We start from the raw sequence: 15,158 nt of genomic DNA, 5'->3' as shown, positions 1-15,158 counted from the left end.
ATTTATTATATACATATGTCTATGTAATAAATGTATACATTTCGTATAGTTTTTCATTATAAAATATTTTTCACGTATAAAAGCATATGTAACTGTTATGTAAGGTTAAAATAATAAAATGGATGCCATTGTATCCACTGTGGAGTTCTTGGAATTGCTTCCTGCCCGTTACTTTCTTCCTGCTACTTTATCTGGGATGAAAAAGCCCTTTCTCAGGACTCATTGGGTCTGTGTTCTGCAGCTGGGACAGTCCAGGTGGCAGCCACACCAGTGCTTCCTAATTCTGTCTGTGGGGAAACAACTGCTACAGCTGGTGAGAACAGGAACTGGTCTTGGTGGAAATAACTAATCTTCAGTGAAGTGAAAAAAGAAGCCAAAGTGGAGAGGAAATGAGACCACAGATCCTCCCCTGCCCCTGAGGTTGCTTGGGGAGGCTGGGCAGAGCCGGGGTCCTGGTTCTGTGGTCAACACCAAAGTATGTGCCCCAGAAGTGACTGTAGTAAGCCCATGGGACAGCAGTGTTGGCTGCCTGAAGTCAGCGTGTCATCTGGTCTGCCAGACCAGTCACTTCCATTCTGGGGAAACATTTCTCCCACGTCTCCAGACCAGTCTCTTCCATTCTGGGGAAACATTTCTCCCACGTCTGAGCTGAGCAATAGCAGAGCCAGGGAAAGGCTAGGGGTTCATCGCGGTTCGGAAATGACTTTAAAGAAGGGGAGGACCTTTTTCTTTGAAGATAGAGGAGGGGACGGTCCTGTCAGCACACAGGCTCCTCCTCTCCTGCTTCTTGCTGGGTACTTCTGAATAGCAGCAGGTGAGAACTTCAGGGATTTAAGATTGTCATTCATAGAGAAGTGAAGTGGATTCCAGAATAGAACTGAGCTGGGCAGCTAGAATTCCTGCATTCCATTTCCAGTCTCTCTCTTTTGCCTCTCTGGGCAAAGTTATGTCTTTGTATCTTGTTTTCCTTTCACATGGAGAGTGAGTCAGTCCCCCAGGAAAGGTGTAGAAATGTCAAGCTCCCTCTGTGTCCTGGAGATACTCTTGTTGTCTTTGCCTCCCACTTTCCTCTCTACTTCTCTTTTCCTCTTTTAGAATCTTCCTCTTTCCAGGTTCTCTTACGCTTTCTGTCTTCCATCACCTCACAACAAAGTTGTGGGTTGGGGTTTGTGTGTTGGGTAGGGGAGGACATGGATAGGGTGTTTTTTTTTTTTGGGGGTGGGGAGCAGTATCTCCCCTCCTGCAGCTTTACTATTATGCATACTCTTCTTAGTTTATAAAGTATTTTTAGGTCCTTGAAAGGTGTTCTCAATAATGTCCAGAACCACGAGGGGCTAGCAGAATTATTTACATGGCAGATTTTGCCAGTAGAGGACAAGTTTAGGCTCTTGTATATTAGTGATGGTTTAATTCTTATCCTTATCCCCCACGTCCATCTCTTTTACCACCTTATCCCCCCTCACCCAGAGTTATGGCCAAAACTGGAGTTGGGGCTGGTGATCTTACCTCTGGGTCCCTTATACACACCAACAGGGAAGATACGTACTTTGTTTCTCCCCTGTTTGCTCATTTCTACTCAAATTCAGAATGGAGAATATCATAATCCTCTTTTAATTGTACGGTGCCTCTCTAAGAAAGTTGACATGAGCCTGGTCGTTGGGTACTTTAGGAGATGGATATTTGGTTTTAAAAACTACCTATAGCTTAGAGCAGTTTCTGTTCTTGTTTTTACACAGAAGCTGGGGAGCCAGTCAATAGATCCTCCTAGTGTTTCCCATGAAATCTTAAAAAAAATTTTGTTCTGGGAGGAAGCAGTAGACCATTGGTTTTGGAATCAGAAGACTTAGGTTCTGATCCAGCTTTATAGTCTTTTTTTTTTTCAGCTGCACGACTTTAGGCAAATCCTGTAACTTTTCTGAGTCAATTTCATCCTTTATGACACGTGTGAGGATAATACCTATCCTACAGGTTTTTGAGGATGCTTACAGGAGACAACATAGTGAAAACACTTTGTAACCTATAAAGGTGCTAAAAATAAATATTTATTGTATATACATTACCCACTTTATCTCGTCTCAGAATTCCATAATTTAAAGTAGCTTTCAACTGAGGGAGGTATTGTCCCAGGAGGGAGTTTTTGGAAGCACTTGAGGATGTTTTGATTATCATACTGACTGGGAGTGCTAGGCTTTCTAGCTGAGAGCCAAGGCTGTTAAACATCCCTCTGTGTTTGGGTCATGTTTTGGTGAGTCCCACACAATGAAGAAGGATCCTGCCCAAAATGTGATTGGCACCCCTACTGAGATTTGCCTTCCACTTATCTGTACCTCCTTTGTCCTGTGTACCAATTGAGGATGAAGCTTCAAGAGCAGTAAAAGGGAAGACAGAGCCATGGTGTGTGGTGCTTTCTTGGTTTTCCCATTTCCTAGCACACCTTTAGGAAAGAGGTGGACCTCTTTTTATTACCTCTGCCTGTTGGTTTAATACCTGATTCCTCTGTACTGTGGGCTCTACCCTAAAACTCATCAAGTGGCAGTTTGGGATGTACATACTACACTCACCCCCTGGTCAGTTACTCAAGCCAGAGTAAAAGTTTTTATAAGTTGGGAATATGTTTGAGAGATCTGTCAACAGTAGTTCTCAATCTTTTGGGTAACAGATTCCTTTGGAAATCCAGTTAAACCTGTGGTCCCTATTTCCCCTCTCCCCCTCCCATCTATGTATGAACACATGTAGTATTTTGGGAGTTTTAAAGACCATTTTTGGATTTGCTGAGGAAGCCCTGGCTGCCAGCCTGGAGGAATGGGAAGTGATAGCTGGGTGAGGAAACTCTACTGCAGGAACTCCTTGATACAGTTTTAGTACTCTTGATCCTTGGTAAGAAGGAGCCCTGGTTATTGGTTCAGATAAAATAATGCTGCTGTTAGTGGTTCCAACAAAAAGAGCTTGTTGAAACTTGGGTGATTCCCATTCAGAGGAAGATATTCAGGCCCCTGGACAGTTTAACTTTGATTAAGGATCCTTTGTGATGGGGTCTACCTCTTTGAACTAGGGCCCTAGCCCTCAACCTTTGGGAAGATCCAGGTGGAGATAATAGGATGTACAGCTGGCCCTCCTTATCTGTGGGTTCTGTATCTGTGGATTCAACCAACTTCAGATATAAAATATTTGAAAAAATTGTGCATGTACTGATCATGTAGCGTTTTTTTCCTTGTAATTATTCTGTAAACAAAACAGTATAACAACTGTAGGTGAGTCTTAAACAACAAGGCCTTGAATTGTGTGGGTGAGCTTATACGCAGATTTTTCAATCAAACGAGAATTGAGTAGTAAGAATTGAAAACCTTACAAGGAGGGCAGACTTTTTCATACACATGGGTTCCATGGGGCCTGTGGAGTTTGAGTATGCTCAGGTTTTGGTTCCAGGACCAGGCTTGGAGCCATTTGGTCTGGTCCTGGAACCAATTCCCCACATATACTGAGGGACAACTGTATTTACATAGCACTTAATTGTATTATGTATTATAAACAGTTTAGAGGTGATTTAAAGTATACAGGAGGATGTGTGTAGGTTGTATGCAATTACTATATAATTTTATATCAGAGACTTGAGCATCTGGGGATTTTGGTATTCTAGAGAGGTCCTAGAACCAATCCCCTTCAAATACCAAGAGACAGCTATATTTTCACAAATCCCAGGAACCCAGTGGCCTCTTGCAGTGACGGCCAAAGGTTAGATAATATCCTGTGTTTGGAGGTACTACCTGCCTAAAGCAGCAACTCTTTCCTGCAGGCCTGAGGTCCTTGGGGGAATATCTGGGTAGTGAGCTTCCCAGCATCTGCCTGGGAGAAGGATGGATGGAACGTTTGTTTCTCTAGCAATGCTTAAATCCTCTCTTCTACCTTACAAAAAAAAAAAATGACCTGTACCTTTTTTGACTGCTCGGATATTTCATAACAGAATTTTTGTAGGAAAATTTACATCTTTTGGGGGACTTATGAAAAAAAATCTTTAAGACAACACTCTGTTTTTTTCTGAGTAGAGTCCCTCATCTCATCCTTTTAGGAATGGCTCAGTGTCTGGTCCTTACCGACTGCCTGGATTTAACTTGTAAAGGTTAAGGAAAGACAGTTAACATTTGTTGGATGTATGCCGCGTACTTTGACATGTTTTATCTCATTTAACTTAACAACAACTCTATGAGGCAGTATTTCACTGCAGTGTTTTTTTACAGGCAATATGAAGCTAGGGCTCAGAGGGGTTAACTAAGCGGGGATGGTCTCAGCTTAAATGTCACTAACTTAGGCCTTAAGGAAACTATTTTTGGTTAGATTTTTTATTCATGCTAAAAGGACTGTTGGAAAAACAACTTCTAAAAGATGCTTAATCTTTTATTTTTTATATATAGATTTTAAATTAATAAAAAAGTATCTGTAAGGGTACAAATAAAACCGATAACACTAGTTAGTTACCTCTGGGATTCAGGGTTAGGGGAGGAACCATGATGGGAAGAACAGATTCAAGAGGAATTTAGCTTTATCTATAATGTTTACATCTGAAATTTTTATTTATATATTTTTTAGAGACAATGTTTTGTTCCCTAAACTGGAGTCGAACTCTTGGGCCCTCCCACCTCATCCTTTGGAGTAGCTGGGACTGCAGGAGTGTACCACCATGCCTAGCTATAATGTTTACTTTTTTTTTTTTACAAGGATAATTCATTTATGTATTAGTTATGTAATTAAAAGTTAAATAATAGAAAAAGTTTTTTAACTTCACTAGAAATCAAGGAGATGAAAATTTAGAGGATATACTTTTTTTTTTTGAGACGGAGTTTCGCTCTTGTTGCCCAGGCTGGAGTGCAGTGGCGCAATCTCGGCTCTCTGCAACCTCTGCTGCCTGGGTTCAAGCAATTCTCCTGCCTCAGCCTCCTGAGTAGCTGGGATTACAGGTGCCTGCCACTATACCCGGCTAATTTTTGGTAGTTTTTAGTAGAGGCGGGGTTTCACCATCTTGGCCAGGCTGGTCCTGGAACTCCTGACCTCGTGATCCACCTGCCTCGGCCTCCCAAAGTGCTGAGATAGCAGGCGTGAGCCACCGCACTCGTCCTGATATACTTATTATACTAATTATCTGGGTGAAATTTTGAAGACTGACTATGTCCGTGGTCAATATTAATGGCAGAGTAATTCGGTACAGACATTTTGGAAGGCATTTTACAGGGTTTATCCATTTAAAATGTGCGTGTTCTCTAACTCCCCCACCTCACCTTTAGGAAACCATTCTGCAGAACAGTTTACACATGTGACGGAAGGTGCATGTAAGGAATAATCGGGGCTACATTGTTTAACGTAAAAAAAGGAATGGGGAAGAGCCTGATTGTCCACTCCTTGCTTAAATTTACTGCTCTCCCATTCATCTACTCAGGGCAAATCCTGGGAGTTATTTTTAATTTTTTCTTGTCCTTTCTCCATACCCACTGTATGAGTAAGTCTTGCTGATTTCATCTCCAAAAATAGGCTGGGCGTGGTGGCTCATGCCTGTAATTCCAGCACTTTGGGAGGCTGAAGCTGGAGGATCACTTGAGGCCAGGAGTTCGAGACTAGCCTGGGCAACATAGTGAGACCCCTGTCTCTACAAAAATAAAAATTAGCTGGGTGTGGTAGCATGTGCCTGTAGTCCAATCCCTGAGGATTACCTGAGCCCAAGAGTTTGAGGTTGCAGTGAGCCGTGATTGTGCCACTGCACTCCGGTCCGGGCCTCTGAATGAGACCCTGTCTTTAAAAAAAATAAGATTGTTGGTGGCTCATGCCTGTAATCCCAGCACTTGAGGAGGCCGAAATGGGCAGATCACCTGAGGTCGGGAGTTTGAGACCAGCCTGACCAACATAGAGAAACCCCGCCTCTACTAAAAATACAAAATTAGCCAGGTGTGGTGGTGCGTGCCTGTAATCCCAGCTAGTCAGGAGGCCGATGCAGGAGAATTGCTTGAACCCAGGAGGCAGAGGTTGCAGTGAGCCGAGATTGCACCATTGCACTCCAGCCTGGGCAACAAGAGCGAAACTCTGTCTCAAAAAAAAAAAAAAAAAAAAAAAAAAAAACCAAGATTGGGAGGCTGAGGCGGGTGGATCACTTCAGCCCAGGAGTTCAAGACCAGCCTGGCCAACATGACAAAACTGTTTCTGCTAAAAAATTAGCTGGGTGTAGTGGTGCGTGCTTATAGTCCCAGCTACTGGAGAGGCTGAGGCACGAGAATCACTTGAACCTGGGAGGTAGAGGCTGCAGTGAGCCAAGATGGCACCACTGTACTCCAGCCTGGGTGACAGAGCGAGACTATCTCAAAAAAAAAACAACAAAAAGTGAAAAAACAAACAAACACAAAAACTGTCTCTCTCTATATGTATATGTAATCTGCCTGTCCCTTTTCTCTACTGCCACCGCCCTGGTCTAAGTCAAGATCAGCTCTTGCTTGTATTGCAGCCAACCATCTGGCTTTCCATTTTCCTCTCTTATCCCTATCTCCATCTTCCCACCCATTCTCCACAAAGCACCCAAATTTAAAATATAAATTAAATAGCATCATTCCCTGGCCTAAAAACCTTTAATGGCTTCCCTTTGTATTATACTAAAAGGAAAAATGCAAACTCCTGACAATGGACCCTTAAGATTGCATCATTTGACACCTGCTGACCTTTTTAACCTTATTGCCCTCCTGTTTACGAAGTTCCACATTAGCCCTCTTTCGTTCAGGACAAGCTCCTTTCTATCTCAGGATCTTTGCATAAGCTGTTTCCTCTCCTGGGATACCCTTTGCCTGGATGTTAAAACGACTCTTTCTAGTTTATACTTTAGGTCTCAATTTTTAAAAATGCCACCTCTCAGATCTTCCCCACTTACTATTCTTTTTCTTAGTTAGCATCCTATTCATTCTTTTTCCCTTGTACAATTATTTGATTACTTGTTTATTATGCATCTCCCAGATTGTTGATTCAGTGAGGGTGGGGACATTATGTTTGCTTATCACTGTACAGCCAAATACCTGGCACAGGGTAGGCACTCAATAAATGGCTGTGGCAAATGGGAATCTCCAAGATATATATGTACGTGTAAATATAATCTAAAAAGGCAATTAGAAGACTGTATATATAATGCTTTATAAAAACCATATATGGTTGTATATAAATACATAGAAAAAAGGCCTAGAAAAATAAACACCAACCTATTAACTGTGGTGAACTGTGGAGGGGATTGAGTGGGGTTGAGGGCTGAATAGTGACTGATTTTTTATTCTATAAGCTTTGAGTTGGTTGAATTTTTTTCTTTTACATTATCTACTTGTGTATTCCTCCTTTAAGAGAAAAGGAGGAATAAAAATTGGGTAGGGAGGGGGTAGACTGAAGTTTTTTTTTTTGGAGACAAGGTCTCTTTTGCCTAGCTCAGAGTGCAGTAGTGTGATCACAGTCTCAACTTCTCAGGCTCAATCAGTCCTCCCAAGTAGCTGGGACTACAGGCGTGCACCACCATGCCTGGCTAATTTTTGTATTTTTTGAATAGACAGGGTCTTGCTATGTTGCCCAGGCTGTTCTTGAACTCATGGGCTCAAGCAATCTGCCTGCCTTGGCCTCTGAAAGTGTTGAGATTACAGGCATGAACCACTGTGCCCAGCCAGACCCAACTTTTTTTTTTTTTTTTTTTTTTTTTTTGAGATGGAGTCTTGCTACGTCAGCCAGGCTGGAGTGCAGTGGCGTGATCTTGGTTCACTGCAACCTCCACCTCCCGGGTTCAAACAATTCTCCTGCCTCAGCCTTCCGAGTAGCTAGGACTACAGACGTGCAAGACCACGCCCAGCTAATTTTTGTATTTTTAGTAGAGATGGGGGTTTCACCATGTTGGCCAGGCTGGTCTCAAACTACTGACCTCAAATGATCCACCCGTCTTGGCCTACCAAAGTGCTGGGATTATAGGCGTGAGCCACCGCACCTGGCCAGACCCAACTTTTAATGGGGGGAAAAAAAAGGCTCCTCTCTTACTTTTCGCACTAAGCCAAAAGAAAAGTGCGAGAGAGAGAAAGGGCACCAGTGGGGTCAGCAACTGGCCACTGCCCTGTGCCCTGTGCTGAGCTTGGCACTGTTTCCACAGTAAAAAGAATCCTAAGAGATGCTCTTTTGCGCTGAAGCTGTATTTTAAATTATTTAATGTAGGCATGATCCTGGTCCCCCAGATACAGGCAGGCTATGTATTTTTAGTCTCTGTCATTTCCAGGCCAGTGAAAGCTGCATCTCCAGCCTTGGCACAGCCATAGCCCTAGAAGTCCACAAAGAGAATAAACCTGAGCTCTAGGCTGTGCTGCATCTCAGCTTCTCAAAGTCAAGTCGGTTCAGCAGCTGTGACCACCGTGACAATCATTTTCTCTAGGTTCTTGCCTTCTAGGAATAAGGATAGCTAATAATTTTAATAGCTAACATTTATTGTGTGATAATGGTATACCAGGCACCATGCAAAACACTTTACACACATTATCTCATTTAATCATCACAACTCTGTGAAGTACTTGTTATCTCCATTTTATAGAAGAGGAAACTGAGGTCCAGGTAGGTTAAATAGCTCACCTAGGATCACACACTAGTAGGTGGCAAAGTTGGGATTTGAGTCCAAGCAGCCTGATGCCAAAGCCCAGTTTTTTTTGTTGTTGCTTTTCAGACAGGGTCTTACTGTCACACAGGCTGGAGTGCAGTGGCGCAATCTTGGCTCACTGTAGCCTCAGCCTCCTGGGCTCAAGTGATCCTCCCACCTCACCCTCCCAGGTAGCTGGGACCACAGGTGCACCACCACGCCTGGCTAATTCTTGTATTTTTTGTAGAGACAAGGTTTCACCATGTTACCCAGGCTGGTCTCGCACTCCTGCCTTGGCCTCCCAAAGTGCTGGCACTGCGCCCAGCTCCACTTTCTTAACTATAGTTTCCTTTTTGCGGGGTTGACTCTCCTTTGCTCTTACTACTGCTTTGGAGTGGATTGAGTGGATTGTGGCAGAATATAGGGGAAAGTTTACCGAACAAGTTCTCCTTTGCTAAGAGGTGTGGTGGAAAGATTTGGGCTTTAGAGTCAGCCAGATTTGGGTTTGGATCTTAGCTATCCTACTAGGACATCTGCTATTCGAGAAGTTTTGTTTTCTTGTTTTTTGTTTTAAATTTACTACGTGCTCTTGATATCACTAGGTATATAGTGGTGAAAAATCTAAGAATTCCTTTGCCCTCATAGAGTTTAGAGGAAAATACAGATATTAAATAAATATTTAATTATGATATATTCTTGGAAGGCAAAGAACAGGTTGTTAAGAGAGAGTGTAACAAAGAAGGCTTTAGGTTGGGAAGTCTTGGGTCTATTCTAAATGTTCATTCCATTTTCTTTTCTTTCATGATTTATTAAGTTAATACGTCATAGGTGCCTGCTGTATACACAGCACTTTCCCTTGTACTTGGGGGTATACAAAATAAATAGAAGATAATGCTTGCTATCTGAGTTGGAGAGACAAAATGTGTATGTACTTAAAACTATATTTTGAACTAGAGAATTAAAGCAAGTGCATGTCCTCAGGTTGTCTGTGAGACTCTGTGCTGTATTTTATCTGTAATGTGGGAATACTGTTTGTCTTGCCCAATCACATGCTTTTGTGAAGACCAAGTGAGATCATGAGGTGATAGGGTGCCACACAGCTATAAACACAGAAAGATTGGAGAGCTAGGGGAGGATCAGTGTGGTATAGGAGTGCTAAATAGGCAGTGCTTTAAGGAGGACAGGGGATTTAGTCAGGTCTTTAATCAGCTGTAGATCAGGAGAGAGGAGATTGTTCCAGGCCAGAGCTGTATGGGAGGGAATTAAGGAGGAGGAATGAAGCAGCTATATGAGGGGCAGCCAGGAGCCCTGCTGCTGGAATAGAGGAGTTTAGTTATAGACAGATGTGAGCTTGGATCAGGACAGATGGCCAGTACACACTGAGTTTTGTCTGAACATTTCTTATTTTTTTGAAATGGGCTTGCTCTGTCACCCAGGTTGAAGTGCAATAGTGTGATCATGGCTTACTGTAGCCTCCAACTCCTAGGCTCAAGCCGTCCTCCATTTCAGCCTCCTTAGTAGCTGGGACTACAGTTGTGCTTCTTACTTTTTTGTAGAGATGGTATCTTGCTGTGTTGCCCAAGCTGGTCTTGAACTCCTGGGCTCAAGCCATATCTGCCCACCTCAGCTTCTCAAAGTGCTGGCATTGTAGACATGAGCCATCGTGCCTAGCCTGAACATTTCTTGATTGTTAGAAAAGGGACTTTCCTGCCCAGGGTTTCAACAGGGAATAGAGAATAGTTGGTAACTGGTCTCTGGCCATTCATGAGTTTTCTCATTTAAAGTTGAATGATTGATATATATGAGAGATAAATGCTCAATCCTCATAGGTTAGAGAATCAGAATAATTTGATTTAAGTGAAACTGGATAGAAAATGATCCCATGTGTTACCCTTGAACTGCAGAAGTCTTCAAATGTAGAAGCTTCCATTTCTAGTCAGCAAGTTTTGAACTAATTCTTTCCATTGCCAAATCTGTCTTGCTTTCCTTTAAAAAAAATTATTTTTTGAGTTAGGATCTTTCTTTCTTGCCCAGGCTGGAGTGCAGTAGTGTGATCATAGCTCACTGCAGCCTTGAATTCCTGGGCTCAAGTGATCCTTGCACCTTAGCCTCCCAAAGTGCTGAGATTACAGGCATGAGCCACCATGCCCAGCCCATTTTTGCCTTTCTTTAGGGTAAAATGTTGTCTTGTACTAAATAATTTTTATTATTAACAATGCCTTGTTCATAGTAGATGCTCAATAAATATATCTCATTTCATAGTAACAGTGTCCAATGTTTGTGAGCCACTTTATACCTGCTAGTGTTTTCTTATACATTGTATTTTGGGGGGAATGGCACTCTTCCAGCTAATTATCCAGGCCAAGCACTTGGAGTTAGTCTGGGCTGCTGTCCCTCTCACCTTTCTATCTGTACTACCACTACTGTAGTTGATCTTCAGCTCTTGCCTGGTCTGTTGTAATGGACTTCTTAGCAGTTTCTTTGGTTCATTCTTGCAGACCCACTTACCACAAGCCATCATCATAGCTATATATAAAGATCTGGGGGATGAGTTTTCTAGGAAGAGAACAACTTTTGCAAAGCCCTGGGGTGGAAAAGAACTTTGCACATTTGAGGAACTGCAAGAAGGCCAGACTGGTCTACAAGGATGCTGAGGAGAGTCCGAGAAGGTATAGGAAAGGTGAGCAGGGCCCAGATTATGTGGGACCTTGTTGGCCTTGGTAAGGAGTTTGGAAATTAATTGTAGGGAAACTTCTAGGTATGCTTTATAAGGTTAAGAGTTCTCTTGTCTGCTGTGTGGAGAATCCTGGAATCTGTCTCCCTTATGGGCAGCAGTTTGGCCTGAGTGAGATCCAGGCTTCTCGCTAGACTGTCCCCTGCAGGGTGATGGTGGCTTCTGCCCTTTCAGGTTTGACTGGTGCTCAGTCCTCACTCCTGTACCCCCTCTCAGGCCAGAAGGGGCAGTGCCTCTGCTAGGCTAGGCTGGCCCCAGTGTTTGGCGTGCCTCCCAGTGGCCTGAGCCTATAATTTGATGGGTTGGCTGGTTATAAAAATAAAAAGTGTGACCTATAACTATAGCTGAGTGGATTCAGTGAAGAGGGAGCTTTTAATTTGCAGAGGTTCTGGACTGTACTTAACTGGAGGAAAAATGTGTCTCCTCCCTGGGTGCTGTTCCATTTTCTGTCTTTAATACTTGCTCTGGGGTGGGTTAGGGTTTGTGGGCCTGGGAGTGAGATGTGGAGGACTTTAGGGAGATATTTGGAGGGAATGTTAGGGTTCAGCAACAGGTTTATAGGGCTTTCTGGAAAGTAGGCATTATTCAGTCTTGCTTCTCATGTAGCCCCACTAGGATGGAAGCAGAGTTTAAAAATCTTTGCATGATCACTCGTTTATTCATTCAACAACTATTTATTGAGTGTTTACTCTGTATTTTAGACATCAGTGATACCACAGTGAACAAAAAAGACAAGCCAGTCTCATAGCATTCACATTGTTGTTGGGGAGAACAATAAACAAATCTACAGGTATATAATATAGTGTTAAGTAGCAAGAAGTACCATGAAGAAAAAGAAGGTAAGATAAAGAGATAGATGGTCATTGGGGGTTATAGCCAGGTGTGGTGGCATGTGCCTGTAGTCCCAGCTGCATGGGAGGCTGAGGCAGGAGGATCCCCTGACTTTCGGAGGTTGAGTCCAGCCTGGACAACCCCGTCTCTTAAAAAATAAGAGAGAGGGGCCAGGCGCGGTGGCTCATGCCTGTAATCCCAGCACTTTGGGAGGTAAAGGTGGGCAGATCACGAGGTCAAGAGATCAAGACCATCCTGGCCAACATGGTGAAACCTTGTCTCTACTAAAAATACAAAAATTAGCCGGGCGTGGTGGCGGGCACCTGTAGTCCCAGCTACTTGGGAGGCTGAGGCAGCAGAATCACTTGAACCCAGGAGGCGGAGGGTGCAGTGAGCCGAGATCGCGCCACTGCACTCCAGCCTGGAGACAGAATGAGACTCCGTCTCAAAAAAAAAAAAAAAAGGAATGGGGAAGATATTTAGATAAGATGATAAGATTATCAGGCAGTTTTGGGGGTTGAGCTATAAGAGAAAGTGAAACTTTCCATGAACTTTGGATCCCAGTGCCTGAGTGTGTCTCCGAGGAAGGGGCTCCCTATGGCAGTGCAGCCAGTCTGGGTGGGGATCAGAGTCAGTACTCATCTGGGGGTCCAACTGGCTCCTAGCCTCAGGTGGGCCCCAGTCAGAGCCTGTGGTTGATTCTTCCTGGCTCCAGTTGTCAGAACTGTCTGCAGGGCCGGGTAGGGTGCTGATTAACTGTAAATAGATACTTGTCTTTCCTAGGCTTCTCAAGTCTGATTCTCTCAAGATTTCCTGAAGTCACTCTGTGTGTTCTGGTCTTGAAGAGAAATATGAAGTCTGGTCTGGGAAGCAGCTGCAAGGAGTGTAGGGATGGATGCTCAGCCAAGCCTTTTTTAAGAGTTTTGGGGCTCAGTGACTGACATAAAGGTGCTCAATACTTTTTTTTTTTTTTTTTTTTTTGGAGATGAAGTCTCGCTCTGTCGCCCAGGCTGGAGTGCAGTGGCGGAATCTCTGCTCACTGCAAGCTCCGCCTCCCGAGTTCATGCCATTCTCCTGCCTCAGCCTCCCAAGTAGCTGGGACTACAGGCGCCCGCCACCACGCCTAATTTTTTTGTATTTTTAGTAGAGACAGGGTTTCACTGTGTTAGCTAGGATGGTATTGGTCTCCTAACCTCGTGATCCGCCTGCGTCGGCCTCCCAAAGTGCTGGGATTACAGGTGTGAGCCACCACGTCCAGCCAGGATGCTCAGTACATTTTAAGTAGAAGGCTGGACACAGTGGCTCATGCCTGTAATCCCAGCACTTTGGGAGGCTGAGGCAGAAGGATTGCTTGGGCCTGGGAGATTGAGGCTGCAGTACGCTATGATCATGCCACTGCACTCCAGCCTGGGTGACAAAGTGAGACCCTGTCTCAAACCCTCCCCTTCCAAAAACCAAAACATTTTAAATAGAATTTTTATTTATTTATTTTTGAGACCGAGTCTCGCTCTGTCGCCCAGGGTGGAGTACAGTGGCACAATCTCAGCTCACTGCAACCTCTGCCTCCCAGGTTCAAGTGATTCTCGTGCCTCAGCCTCCCGAGTAGCTGGGATTACAGGCGCCCGCCACCAAGCCTGGCTAATTTTTGTATTTTTAGTAGAGACGGGGTTTCACCGTGTTGGCCACGCTGGTCTTAAATTCCTGACCTCAAGTGATCCCCCTGCCTTGGCCTCCCAAAGTGCTGGGATTACAGTTGTGAGCCACCGCACCCAGCCTTAAATAGAAATATTATTTGAAGGCCATTAACTTCTTGAATCAGAGATCTGGTATTGAGGAGCCTAACAAAAATATTTAAGAAATAAGAATTATTGTTGAAGGGTAGAGACTGTTTTTCTGTACCTTGAAGTTGTAAAGTCACTGAACAGCACGTACTAGTCACCTTTCTTTTATACTCAATAATGTTGGCCTAGTCATGACCTTTCCACAGGCTTTAGGGACCTCCAGGTACTGGGGTAATTCTTGGCTTTTGTTGGCCTGCCCTTTAGCACATTTTGTCTCTTGTGTAGCCATGGAGGGACATTATTATTATTATTATTTTGAGACAGAGTCTCTCTCTGTCTCCCAGGCTGGAGTCCGGTGGCACCATCTTGGCTCACTGCAACCTCCACCTCCTGGGTTCAGGTGATTCTCCTGCCTCAGCCTCCTGAGTAGCTGGGACTACAGGCGCGTGCCACCATGCCCAGCTAGGGATATCGCCATGCAGCTTAGGCTGGTCTCGAACTCCTGGGCTCAAGTGATCTGCCTGCCTCAGCCTCCCAAAGTGTTGGGATTACAGGCGTGAGCCACTGCTTCCGGCCTGGACCTTATTTTAAAACTGGGGGCGTTTACCAAGGGTAAAACCATCATACACCAGCTGAGGTTGAGACCTGTGCTCCTGGGATTTTATTGAACTCTGGGGTGGTAGAGTTGCTGTTATATGGGCTCATTTCGTAGACTTGAGATCACATACTCCTCTCATTTCAATGCCAGCCCTGAAGTGAGGCCCAGACAATGTTCTAGAATGGATGGGCCAGAGATATCTGACCAGGAAAGAGCATCTTTGTTTGGACCCCTTCTGTGTCCAGAGTATGCTTGGGCCCCTTACTTTGGACAGACTTCTCGTTTGTGGTTGTGGTTATTTTGTTTTTACTTGCCACTCAGCAGAATCAACCTCATATAAGCACTCATTATCCTCAGGCCCTTGGCAGGCAGGACACTTGGTGAATCTGCTCCCTCATGAAGTGCTCACGTCTGCAGATTATTTTCTGATGGCATCTGTCATGAGTTCCAGATTGATGGTCCAATAGCAGCTATGAATTGCTCCCTTTGGGCTTGTTTAATTATTGCTGGCATGGTGGCTGACTAAAGAATTAAGAATCTCTTGTGCATTTATGGGGCAACAGGTCGCGGTGGCGTCCCAAAGCATTTATCTGTCATTTC

At 44.1% G+C, this 15,158-nt stretch overlaps 1 protein-coding gene across 11 annotated transcripts in view, besides 4 other annotated features; it reads left to right on the top strand.

Annotated features, from left to right (window-relative positions):
* The window catches only part of FMNL3 (formin like 3), a 70,907-nt gene that overhangs the window by 7,667 nt on the left and 48,082 nt on the right, over positions 1 to 15,158 (top strand). The window lies entirely within an intron of this gene.
* Positions 172 to 221: an enhancer, noted in NCBI's record as "active region_6326". NCBI's record gives its function as "activates an Ori minimal core promoter by ATAC-STARR-seq in GM12878 lymphoblastoid cells {active_cell/tissue: GM12878}" and the evidence as "EXISTENCE:reporter gene assay evidence [ECO:0000049][PMID:35858748]".
* Positions 462 to 521: an enhancer, noted in NCBI's record as "active region_6325". NCBI's record gives its function as "activates an Ori minimal core promoter by ATAC-STARR-seq in GM12878 lymphoblastoid cells {active_cell/tissue: GM12878}" and the evidence as "EXISTENCE:reporter gene assay evidence [ECO:0000049][PMID:35858748]".
* Positions 542 to 641: an enhancer, noted in NCBI's record as "active region_6324". NCBI's record gives its function as "activates an Ori minimal core promoter by ATAC-STARR-seq in GM12878 lymphoblastoid cells {active_cell/tissue: GM12878}" and the evidence as "EXISTENCE:reporter gene assay evidence [ECO:0000049][PMID:35858748]".
* Positions 2,270 to 2,771: an enhancer, noted in NCBI's record as "H3K4me1 hESC enhancer chr12:50090751-50091252 (GRCh37/hg19 assembly coordinates)". NCBI's record gives its function as "activates a minimal SCP1, AML or CMV promoter by ChIP-STARR-seq in naive H9 embryonic stem cells {active_cell/tissue: H9 hESC(naive)}" and the evidence as "EXISTENCE:reporter gene assay evidence [ECO:0000049][PMID:30033119]".

This window comes from Homo sapiens, chromosome 12 (assembly GCF_000001405.40).
Source record: "Homo sapiens chromosome 12, GRCh38.p14 Primary Assembly".
Lineage (NCBI taxonomy): Eukaryota > Metazoa > Chordata > Mammalia > Primates > Hominidae > Homo > Homo sapiens.
Note: the sequence above shows the minus strand (reverse complement) of the source record. Positions and strands in the feature narration are given on the sequence as shown.